Source organism: Homo sapiens, chromosome 6 (genome assembly GCF_000001405.40).
Source record: "Homo sapiens chromosome 6, GRCh38.p14 Primary Assembly".
Lineage (NCBI taxonomy): Eukaryota > Metazoa > Chordata > Mammalia > Primates > Hominidae > Homo > Homo sapiens.
This window is the reverse complement of record NC_000006.12, coordinates 52,592,983-52,605,909: the sequence shown is the minus strand read 5'-3', so window position 1 is coordinate 52,605,909 and position 12,927 is coordinate 52,592,983. Positions and strand designations below refer to the sequence as shown.

The following is a 12,927-nucleotide window of genomic DNA, read 5'->3' as shown; positions in this document are numbered from 1 at the left end:
AAAGGAGGGGAGGGAAACAAAGGGGAGGGGAGGGGAACAAAAGGGAGGGGAGGGGAAGGGAGGGGAGAGGAGGGAAGAAGGGTAAAATCCTGAACTGAAACATGAGTTATGGAACACCTACTTTAGTTACAAAACTTTTCTAAATCATTATTTGAAGAGGTATATATGCATTGCACTACTTCTTAAAATGTCCAGCTCTCGCAGAAGTTGCTAGACCAAAATTCTTAAAGCTACACTATTAGAGGGCACTGTCAAGACGTAATAGCCCAGAAATTAAGGTAAAGCAGCTGTGAAGTTGTAATGAGACTATAGTGGGGCTGTTGATTTACACACGTTATGCTCAGGAGGGCTGAGAAAACATAGCTCCTTTTTTTTTTAAATCTCTAATTGGCCTGACTTTCTCATGAGCCCTGGCCCACTGAATCATCTTAGTCTGCTGCAATAATGAAACCAGTACTTGAGGTAAGACGCTCAATCTTCCCAATCTTATCACCTTCTCCTCTGCTTCCATAAAATGGGATAGGGGGAGAGGGGTGTGTTAACTGAATCGTCATAAGACTAAAGAGCTTCTGGAATCCAAGAAGTGTCCGAGGATGCTCTACTCATCCCTCCTACCCTCCCCTGCCCCTGCCCACTGATCCCCAGCAGCTAGTCTGGGCACTGCCCTCCCTGCTGACCCTTGCAGCTAAGTCAGTTGTAGGTTTGCTCCAACATCTGGTCTCTCAGCCAGAGTTTGGGGGTGATCCTGGCTGCTTGGGTCTTCCTGGCCTCTTGACAGGATTTCATGTGAAGTCCCTCTCAACTGCCATCTCGGTCTAGTGCCTTGTCTAGGTGGTTAGCCCATGTTTGCAGAGGCATCTCCGCTTGTCACAGTGGGCCACTCTCAACAGCTACTTTCTCTCCTCCCACTTCATGAAGGCACTTCTGAGCCTCCTCCATACCATATGGGAGCTGAGATAGTCACTGTGCCACCAAATTGACTTTGAAATGGCCATCTCCTAGGTCTGATGCAAGGCAGGCTACAAGGCAATATCCTCTAAGAGTGCAAGCTATGAATTGGAAAAACAAACAAATTAAAAAAATGCCCCTGCTTTTGGCATTCTTCTCCATAGCTCTCCAGGTTTCTCCCAAAATGAAGAGATGGGGAACCATATAATTCACTTCCTCACGTGACTCTAGTTCCTTTCCCTCTGTCCATTCAGGTAAGAAGGGGAAAGTTTCTTTTTTTCCCCACTTTTTGAATATCTGAGATTTTCATGATGCCCTATCCTCCTCCTTACCAACTATTTAGCCTCAAGGTTGAGACTCAATGGCTGACAGGTAGCCACAGCATATGGGGAAGACACACCAATAAAGAAATGAAATCAGGAACCATTCCAAAAATACTATACCTCTTCAATACGCCAACAAAAAATATATAATCTGATCTGGAGTAAAAATTCTGACTTGATTCTCTAAATGCATTTAGAAATTTATTGGATACCAAATATAGGCCAGCCTTTAAACATGATGAGCTTTCTGCTAGGTACTGTATGGTTCCATTTATATGATATTCTGGAAAAGACAGAACTACAGGGACAGAAAACAGGTCTGTGGTTACCCAGGGCTAAGGATGGGTAGAGGGTTTGATGACAAAGTGGCACCAAGGAGCTTTTTGAGACGATAGAACTATTCTGCGTCTTGATTGTGGTGGTGGTCACACGATTGTGTTTGTTAAAATTCACAGGGCCGTACACTAAAAGCAATGGATTTTATTGTACATAAAAGGGACCTCCATAAACCTGACTTTTATTTTTAAAAAATGATGGGCTTTCACATACCCAACATTATACATGACACTTATTGAGTGCTTATGAAATAATGCACTGCTCTAACCACTTTGATTAGATTCACTCATTTAATCCTCACAATAATTTTATTTAGAAGGGACTATTATTATCATCATCTCTATGTTTTAGATAAGGAAACTGAGGTCCAGAGAAGTTAAGTAACTTGTCGCAGTCCACACAGCAAGTACAGCTGGAATCTGAACCCAGATCTGTCTGATGCTAAAGTCTGTGGATTTAACACTATGTTATAAAGCCTCTCAAGATAGGTAAACTGGTAACATTTGTGTTTGCATGTAACTTACCCTTCCTGGAGTCTTTTTTAATCGAATCACATCTGTTCTCAGATCAGAAAATAAGTGGTACATCCTGTCCCCCAAACATACACATCCTGGAACATATTTCTCCAATTGCCCCAATCTAACATCCTCAGTTAAGTTGAGAGGCCCCTTCCTGTCAGCAGTCTTAAGTGGACTAAGAATGAGTCAGAGCTGGATGACTGTTGGTTAAAAAGGTCCCCTGGAGAGTTCCAGGGAGTATGTGACCCACCCTAGCTCAAGCTCCTGACAAGGTGTCCAACCCATACTCTAAACTAGGGTCTTGACATGCTGACCCAGATACCCCTGCAGCCTAGCAAATCAAAGATGCCAGACTCTTCCCCTAAGTACAGAGGGCTCCCTTCTCAAGTTTATGCGGGCTTGACCTGGGTCTGAGAACTCCAGCTCATGCTCCCCTAACAGCAAATGAATGAAGCACTGTTTTTATTAGCCACTGATCCTAGAACTCCCCAGAAGTCAGGATGTCCTGGAGTCTTCCCAGCTGTTTTTCTCTATGGCAGACTGCTTTCCATGATCAATCACAGAGCTCCACTGTAGGACAGTGGTGAGGCATGGCAGGTTTATGGGGAACTCAGGGCTGGTTCTTGCCAAGAGACATGGGTGTCCAAGCCCCACATCTGGTCTTCTGGTTCTTCCATATGATGCAGAGCCCCCTTCCGTTAGCCAAGTGCTCAGGAAATGTACTTCATGATGACTGAGGCTTTGGACATGTGCTACATCTGCTACAAGGGAAATTGAATTGGTCAAGTCTCAGTCTACTCAGCCAGGGACCTCAGATCAGAAACAGCCAATGGAAACCTGCCTAAATGGCGACAATCCACCTCAGCAAACACCACCTTGTGATTTCATCTTATCTGATTTACTTTTGGGGCATTTTGAGCCTCCCAGGCTACCAGTAAGTCACTGACACCTACAAGGCCTGAGGAAGGTGCTTTGGAATGGAGGGAAGAAAAGCACTAGGCCACAGCCCAACTCATCTGCCATCAACCTTTATCTGACCCCTGGACAAAAGAGCAGGTCCACTTACATTTGATGATTTAAAGTTCTCTTTTCTCAAAAATGCACTTACCCCTGATCTCACTATTAAGGGGACTTATTGGTACATTTATGATGAAGACACTGAAAGCTGGGACAAGTTTGGAAGGTTTTGTTGGGATGGTGAGAGTGGGAGAGGTGTGGTGGTTAGGGCAAGGTTGCAAATAGGGAGCCTTTCCCTAGCGGATAGAGAGCCTTAGGGAGGTACTCCTAGACCAAGAGACATCCTAACACCGTAAACAAAGGATCAAAACCAGGCAAGGAGATCCTTAGGAGAAGAATTTTGTCTGCCAGTTTGGCCTGAAATAGAACTTATTTATGCTACTCTAAACCGTTATCAGTTGTTTGTACCTCTGTATAAAGGAATTTCTCCTTTTTTCTAAGAGGAAGCCACGGAAATATTGAACACCGGTGGGAAAGGTCATGGTTGAGGGAATAAAGGACCTAGAAGAATGAAGACTGGAGATGAAGACAGCAAATGTTGCTTATATTTATTTTTGCAGCCCAGAGCATGAAGGATGAAAATTACTTAAAACTGAGTAGGACAAGCAAAAAGGCAGCAGCAGACAGATCAGCTAAGATGGTAACAGAAGGTCAATCTTCAATCTTGAACAGCGGGTGGAAGGACCTAAGCAAGAATTTTATTTCTTCAAATATTAAAAGTCAGATGCTTGAAACCAGTACAGCCATCTTACGTGCATAAATATAAAAGAATATTACCACTCTTACAATTGTCCCTTTTCTCCTGTTCCTTGTAGTCTGTTTTGTTTCAGTCCTCCCAAATCTTGTCACTTCAATGTTCTTTTTTTTTTTTTTTTAATTTTACTTTAAGTTCTGGGATACATGTGCTGAACGTGCAGCTTTGTCACCTAGGTATACATGTGCCGTGGTGGTTTGCTGCACCTATCAACCCATAATCCAGGTTTTAAGCCCAGCATGCATTAGGTATTTGTCCTAATGCTCTCTCTCCCCTTGTCCACCGCTCCCCAACAGACCCCGGTGTGTGATGTTCCCCTCCCTGTGTCCATGTGTTCTCATTGTTCAACTCTCACTTATGAGTGAGAACACGTGGTGTTTGGTTTTCCGTTCCTGTGTTAGTTTGCTGAGGATGACGGTTTCCAGCTTCATCCATGTCCCTGCAAAGGACATGAACTCATTCTTTCTTACGGCTGCATAGTATTCCATGGTATGTATGTGCCACATTTTCTTTATCCAGTCTATCATTGATGGGCATTTGGGTTGGTTCCAAGTCTTTGCTATTGTAAATAGTGCTGCAATAAACATTACGTGTGCATGTGTCTTTATAGTAGAATGATTTTTAATCCTTTGGGTATATACCCAGTAATGAGATTGCTGGGTCAAATGGTATTTCTGGTCCTAGATCCTTGAGGAATTGCCACGCTGTCTTCCACAATGGGTGAACTAATTTACACTCCCACCAACAGTGTAAAAGTGTTCCTATTTCTCCACAGCCTCACCAGCATCTATTGTTTCCAGACTTTTTAATGATCGCCATTCTATCTGGCACGAGATGATATCTCATTGTTGTTTTGATTTGCATTTCTCTAATGACCAGTGATGATGAGTTTTTCTTTATATATTTGTTGGCTGCATAAATTTCTTCCTTTGAAAAGTATCTGTTCATATCCTTCGCCCACTTTTTGATGGGCTTGCTTGTTTTTTTCCTGTAAATTTGTTTAAGTTCCTTGTAGATTCTGGGTACTAGACCTTGGTCAGATTGCAAATATTTTCTCCTATTTTGTAGGTTCCCTGTTTACTCTGATAGTTTCTTTTGCTGAGCAGAAGCTCTTTAGTTTAATTAGATCCCATTTGTCAATTTTTGCTTTTGTTGCAATTGCTTTTGGTGTTTTAGTCATGAAGTCTTTGCCCATGCCTATGTCCTGAATGGTATTGCCTAGATTTTCTGTCAAATCTTGTCACTTCAATGTTCTTTTATCCTATCTAACAAATAGGTCCTGGGTGACTGGATACACAAAGCTTATAGCTACTATTGGAAAGCATGGCAATTTCCTAAAATTGCTCTGTGCTGTGTGCTCCGACCATCACAGAAAAAAAATGTATTCAAAAATTATATTTTATAACATATTAAACATTGAGTACCTATTGAATACAAAACAATGTGCTGATAAGACAGAACTGTGTTTATCCAAAGTTATACTGCACTAGTGCTTCTGAAGATTGGGAATCCCTTATTTAAAGAAAACGCCATGGGATGGAAACTTGAGTTATGAAAGTCTCATTTCTATAATTACCACCACCCTCTCCAGTCTCTTTCCCCCAACTTGCCTTTTCTCATCTATAAAATGCACAGTTCACTGATTTAGGTGGTCTGCTCATTGATTTGTAAACATGGATCGAGATGCCAGACCATCATTCATGCACATTGGCCTTGTTCACAGACATAGAAACTAAAATAAATTAGACTTGGGCCAGCAAGCGATCAGCATGACCTCAGGAGGCAGAGACTGCGTGTCCCTCACAGGCCTTCCCTGGCCTTCCTTCAGTGTTAAACAGTGATTCAACATGGTCCCGACCTGACCAAGCTTGGTCTCCTCAACACCAGAAGATTCTGAGTCTCCCAACACCTGCAAAGGTTCAGACATCTGCCCTGAGATGTTAAACAATCCATTCTGGTCTAGCTAGCACCGGGGGAAAAGAAAGGTCTTGAAACAACACAAGATGTTTCAAACTTAGCCTTCGAGAAAAATAAAAACAATATAGGTTCATTTGTAGAAAGTTTGGGAAATGTAGAAAAACACAAAGAAATAATAAAATTTACCTATAACTATGTTTTCCAGTGATTTTTATGTACATCAGTCAAACCTTTTAGAATAAGTTTTGGCTGGGCGCGGTGGCTCATGTCTGTAATCCCAGCACTTTGGGAGGCTGAGGCGGGTGGATCACGAGGTCAAGAGATCGAGACCATCCTGGCCAACCAACATGGTGAAACTCCATCTTTACTAAAAATACAAAAATTAGCTGGGAGAAACCCCATCTCTACTAAAAATACAAAAATTAGCTGGGTGTAGTGGTGCACGCCTGTAGTCCCAGCTACTCGGGAGGCTGAGGCAGGAGAATCACTTGAACCCAGGAGGCAGAGGTTGCAGTGAGCCGAGATGGCACCACTGCACTCCAGCCAGGGCGACAGAGCGAAACTCCATCTCAAAAAAAAAAAAAAGAATACATTTCTAGGCTAGACACAGTGGCTCACGCCTATAATCTTAGCACTTTGGGAGGCCGAGGCAGGTGGATCACTTGAGGTCAAGAGTTCAAGACCAGTCTGGCCAACATAGTGAAACCCCATCTCTACTAAAAATACAAAAAATTAGCCGAGTGTGGTGGCACACTCCTGTAATCCCAGCTACTCAGGAGGCTGAGGCAGGAGAATTGCTTGAACCTGGAAGGCGGAGGTTGCAGTGAGCTGAGATCACACCACTGCACTCCAGCCTGGGCAAAAAAGAGAGACTCCGTCTCAAAAAAAAGGAAAAAGAATATATTTATGAGCAAGAAAAAAAGATAGTTTTAATTGGTGTCATGTAAGACACTTCCAGGAAATGCAATGTCCCTGTTTTGTTTTATTTCATGTTTTTGGTGGGGGGAGGTGAGCGTTGGTGCTAAGAAATGCACAGGACTATTTCTTAGTCCAGAGCAGTCTTCCTGTGGCAGAAGCATGTTGGAAACACAGACTGTGGGCCATACCCCACACCTACTCATTCAGAATCTTCACTTTACAAGATCCCCACCCCCCACAATTCAATGCTTCCAAGCTGTGCACCTTAAGTTTGTGAAGCATTGGCCCATGCAGCCCTCTTTCTCGCCTTTCTCAGGTGGTATTGATTGTCAGGATTTGTATATAACTTTCACACCTACTTGATGTTGAAACTAGCAATAAAAATCCCACCTCCGTGGGAGTAAACACCTTTTGCTCAAGCCACAGCTGCACATTCTTTTGGGAAAGCTCTAAATGTGTTACCTTCTAAATCCCCTGAGAGTTGTGGGGTGCTCCAAAGGGAAGTCCAGGAAAGAAGGCAATGCTTCCTTTTGCTTCCCTCTCAAAGTCCATTCCAGGGTGAGAGCTGTTGTGTGTGTGGCCCCTTTAGTCATAGTAAATCATTCACCCAGTGGGGGACGAGAGAGATATTCACAAAAGACTTCTTAGAAGCCTATGGGGAAAGATCCACACAGTCCACTGCACTATCATCCCCAACTCTCTCTTTCCTGCCTCCAACTATCCCTTTATCCTTTGATCATCCACCAGGGGGCCCCAGGAAGTACAGGCAGGGTGCGCGGACTGATGACGACCCCTAATCAGGCGAGCTGGGATCAAGAACTTGAGCGCCTGGAGGAAGAAAAAGAAATGACAGAAGCCAAAACAGTCGTGTCTGTCTGAGCTGCCAGCCACAACCATGTGTGGGCATCGGAGCGTATGTCAGAGTCAGGCCGGCCAGTGCAAAGCCTGCCAAAGGGCTGCTTCGATTAGGTCTTCACTTGAAATCTTAACCAGGCAGATGTTCCCTGGCAGCCATCTGAAGCCATCTAGGAAGGGCAGCCTGTCCAGGAGTGGCTGCTTCTAGGTGGAGTCTCATTAATCTCTCCCTTTGTTTTCATTTTGCAAACTTGATAGCTGTGGCAAAGTCTCTGTGTCCAGGCACCATGGCTCCCTCTGCATCCTGGCATTTGGTCCTCTACCTCTTTGACACCATCAAGTAATGCTGCTGGTGCCCAGTTCTTGCCTGGGCTATCAAGAGTTCATCTGGTGCCTCTCCACTACTAAGCCTGGCTTTTTAAGCTCTTGGAACCTGATTTGCAAATCCTTCCATGGGAGCCTCTGGGACACCTATGGAGGTCCAGTACCTGATGCACAGGAGAAGGATGAAAGATGGATAAGAAGGGCTCTTTCTGACCTTGGGGAACTTACAAAAATCACCCAATTTGTCCCAGAAACCCCCAAATGTTTATAAAGCAGTAACCATGGTGGTCTTTTTCTATCCAGAGGTTATGGAATGTAAGTGGTTGAAAACGCAGGTCCTGGGTTTGCAGAGACCTGCATTCAGAATCTGGCCTTCCCTGTCACTAGCTGGGTGATCCAGGTTTGCTTTCTCAATGTTTAGTCCTCAGTTTGTCCCTTTTTAAAATGGGGATAACAACACGTGCCTCATAGATTCTTATGAGGATTAAATGAGACATAGTATGTAAAACACTTAGTGAGTACTCAGTAAAAGGTAGTGTTATTGTTATTATTGTTATTATTATTATCACATAAAAATAGACAAGTCCATTTAGATTATTCCAGATAACCTAACAAGTCAGTGTTGTAACCCAGAAGGCCTGGGTTTCAGTTCTGGATCTGCTGTGAATTAGTCTTGTGATAACCTGTGAGCCTCAGTTTCTTCAGCTATAAAATCTAGATAACACTATCTGGACTTTTGTTCCTGTTTTAACTAACATTTATCAAATGATAACTTTGTGGTAGGCATCATTGTAAATGTTTTTCATGTTAAATTCATTGAATCCCCTCATGTCCCTGTTTTGCAGATAAGGAAACTGAGGCAGAGGGACGATGTGCCCAAGGTCAAGCAGCTAGCAACAGATGGAGCTAGGATTCCAACCCAGCCAGTCTGGCCCTAGAGCCTGCGTTCCTGATCTTATTATGAAAAATCAAATGGCATAATGATTATGAAAGTGCTTTGGGAGTGGGAAGCATTATACAAACATGAGATTGTTACTAGTCATCCAAGTTTCTTCGTGTTTGGTCTTCAGCTGGGATCCTTAACCTTTCCTGGCAAGGCATGGAATGGGGAACATCTTTAGATTTTCCTGAAGGCCTTCATTTAATCACTGGCTGTTATGAGTTGAGGGGAGCTAAGTTTCCAGCATCCTTTTGCCAGTGAATAACAGAAGTGGGACTGGAAATCAGGTTCTCTGACTCTTAGCCCTATGATACTGTTCTCCAGCCTCACCAATCCTCAGAGGCTTATTTTGGTTGGCACATAGTTCATACTTCCTGTGACTACTTATTTCACAAGATTACATTCTGGTTTCTCTCTTTCTCTCTCTTTTTTTTTTTTTTTTTTGAGACTTTTGATTGAAATACAGCATACGTACAGAAATGTGCACAGATCATAAATGGACAGCCCAGTATGTCCACATTGTGTAAACAGCACCCAGACAAAGAATTAGTGCATTACCAGCACTCCTGGAGCCCTCTAGCCCCTCCCAGCCACAACCACCAACAAAGGGACCACTATCCTGACTTCTAACATCACAGATTGGTCTTGCCTGGTTTTGAGCTTGACATAAATGGGATTTCACAGTACTCTTCTGTTTCTGGCTTCTTTTGCTCCACATTATGTTTGTGAGATTTGTCTGTGTTTTGCATATCGAGTAGTTAATTATCACTGCGATAGAGTATTCCATAGTACTGGGCTTCTGAACAAAATCAAGAGGCACACACAGAGAGAAGTGTCCTGAAACACTTCAAGCTGGTCCTTAAAAACAAAAAAAAAAGTTAAAGCAATGAAATTGGTCAAACACCAAAAAAAAGTAGTTTAATCTTTACAAATTAGATACAACTTATTGGCCATCTCTTAAAAGCTGCTTTCCCAGATCACTCCCCCATCCCTCTCTCCTCTCTTTCCCCCTAGATGCCCATAGCCCCACATGGCTGTATCACCCAGCCTGAACAGAGAGTTGGGGGATGGAGGTTAATGAGCTGTGTTCTGCTTGGGTGAACCCACCTTGACCTTAGAATAACTCAGAGCCTGGACTGTCTCCAACTTGGCCAGTAGGGTTTCTGCATCTTCAGCAGCATCACAGCCACCCTCACCCACAGTAAGAGAAACTGCCTCTCATGTTTAAAATTTGGGAGCTATTCCCCTTGATCCCTATTAAACTGGACTGAGTCTGCCTCAGGATACAGCTCCTGCAGCCCCAGGCGGGTGAGAGGCAGGATGGAGTCTGCAGAAGGGGGCCGGTCCTCTGCTGTAACCCTCACTCCCTTTGCAACCACTCTCAGAATCACTCCCACAGCTTTCTCAGGCTCTGGACTTCATTCCCAAGCACAGCTCGGCTGCACCCTCCTTCTTTCATCTTTGCCTTACCAGACCACAGTTGGTCCTGATTTCTTCATACTGACAACCTCTCTGGGGTCTCCCTTTTCTAGTAATGATGACCTAATCCCAAGATGCAATTCTAGGGGAGTCCTGAAGCAAATCAGTGGGCTCGCCTGTCCTGAGCCTGAGTCCATATATGGTATAATCCCTGAACCATGACAGGGATAGTGCTGACTGTAATGCAACACAGCTGATTCACCAGCTGTCCCTCTCTCCCTAAGCTGTGCCTGCCCACTCCAGTTTCCATTAAGATCAGCACTGCACCCATAACAAAAGGTTAAGATAGCTGAAGTTCAGGACTTCGCCTCCTTTGGGAGGATGCAATTTAGGTTTTACTTCTTTCTAGGCTCCCCACTTCCTGGGAGGTTGTCCTTTCTGGAATGTAATAGAATATTATGACTGGTGCTTTTTCTTCAGTGCTTCTCTTGTTGTGGGTGTGGTCAGGAAGAGGCGAGGAGGAAAGACAGTTATAGCTCAGAGGCTTGCTCAAGCCCAATTGTAGAGGACTGTTTTCAACTGCAAGCAGGCATCGGGCCCCACCCTGACCCTGGGCAGAGTTCAGTATTCACAGTCCTTAGTTGGAGCTTTGGCTATTCTTTGGTATCCACCCTCAACTATTTTTTGTTTGGCCTTCTGTTAAGTGTGAGAGATAGAACTAAGAAAGTCTCAGATGTAGGAAAGAATATTGAAATCTGGGTTACCAGTTGCATTCAAAGCTCATAAGTGGAGAATCATGTTCTTTTTATTAGCATCCTTACCACCATTCCGTGTCTACTAAAAGCAAAGTATTATAATAGACTCTAGCAGTGGTGAGCTGGAGCTAGTTCAAACCAGTTTATGAGTCTAATTGTTAAATTTTTAGGAAATTTGCAAACTGATTGTTAAATGTAATGATTATTAAAGATTAAATTACATAAAATAACTGTTGAATAAATCAGATTTAAAATGAAGTTAATAAAGATACAAACTCATCATTTCTTAATTATTTCCCATTTTACTATTAACTGTGCCCTTGAGGCTGCTCAGATGAATGATGTCTGTGTAGTGGAAATACCCTCTAACGTGTGCTACTGCGCACCTGTTCCCTACCCCTTGTTCAGTGACATACGTCATGCTAGTAGCTCGGAATCAGACAGATGGGAGTATTTACTCCACAGGACTCAGAAAACCTCTGTAAATCAGGGCCTCCCCCATGCCCCTTGGAGAGTCAGTTGTTAACCCTTTACAAGCACGCCACTGACTCTAGTGGTCAATAAATAATCAGACCTGCCCACAGGGTGCTTATAACACATTGAGGGAAATAAGTCCTTCAAGTCTTGGGTTGGGCACTATCTATCTCTAAAATGCCAAACATGGGAATGAAAGGACATGAGCTTTGAAGTAAGAGATACCTGCATTAGCATCCCAGTCTGCCACTCTGTATGACCCTAAATAAGTTACCTAATTTTTTTTAATCATTGGCAAAATGGGAATAATAGCACCTCCTCACAAGATTGTCATGAGGATTTAGTGGTAAAGATATAAGAGTCTAGAAAGGGCATTTCTGATTACAGGACCAGCATGAGAAGTTGAGTAAAAGCATAAAAGTGAAAAGACTAGTCAAAGAATGGCCAGTGGTCTAGTATGCCTGGATATTAAGACAGATCAGTTGAGCCCAGGAGTTTGAGACTAGCCTGGGCAATACGGCGAAACCCCATGTCTACAAAAAAAATACCAGGTATGGTGGTGCATACCTGTAGTCCCGGCTACTCGGGAGGCCGAGGCAGGAGAATCACTTGAGCCTAGCAGGTTAAGGCTGCAGTGAGCCAAGACTGTATCACTGTACTCCAACTTGGGTGACAAAGCGAGATCCTGTCTCAAAAAAACAAAAGGAGAGACACCAGAGATATCAAGATGGACAGAGTGTATTATGATGTGACCCTGGAAATGCAGGATTAAACAGTGAAACTGGATGGGTCAGGGCTGGGGAGATGGAGCCACTGTGAAGTCAGTCAGCTTTCCAAGTAATCATGTTTTAAAGGCAGCAAAGTCAGGTATAATTCAGACAATCATCTCAATTAGGAGGTACAATCTATAGGCAGTGTCATGGGCTGGGGAGATCTGTTCATCCAAGACTAATCCCCAGCCATAACTGGAAATATAGGGGCCTTGCCTAGCCCCTAAAGAGGGTGTCAGGAGAAACTAGGCAGGAGGCCAGGACCTTAGTTAAATAGGCAAAAGTTTAGGGAGGAGGTGGGTAGTATGAGTACTATAGTAGGACCAAGATACTACTAATAGGTAGGACAGACAAATTAATTACCAAGCAGTAAATCAAGGTATTATTGAAATGGACCAATAATAAAGGTGTTAAATTTTATCTGGGATGACTTAACTACAAATAACAGAATATTGGGATGATCTGGGATGATTTAGCTATAAGTAACAGACTATTGGGATGATTTTAGCTACAAGTAACAATATTTAACTAACAGTGGCTTAAGCAATAAAGATAGCAAAGTATCTCTCAAGAAGTCTGGAAGTAGGTGCTTTAGGATTGGCTTGGTGGCTAAACATTGTTATCAAAAGGCCAAGCTCTTTCTACTTTTTCACTTTGAT

At 43.3% G+C, this 12,927-nt stretch overlaps 1 long non-coding RNA gene across 1 annotated transcript; it reads right to left on the bottom strand.

The window, feature by feature from the left end:
* Nucleotides 1-3,678: 3,678 nt before the first annotated feature.
* On the bottom strand, nucleotides 3,679-12,105 carry LOC124901330 (uncharacterized). Its single transcript, XR_007059610.1, has 2 exons — nucleotides 12,066-12,105; nucleotides 3,679-9,708 (listed from the first exon to the last, which is right to left on the bottom strand). It is a non-coding gene; the product is annotated as an uncharacterized LOC124901330 (long non-coding RNA).
* Between the last annotated feature and the right edge of the window lie 822 nt (nucleotides 12,106-12,927).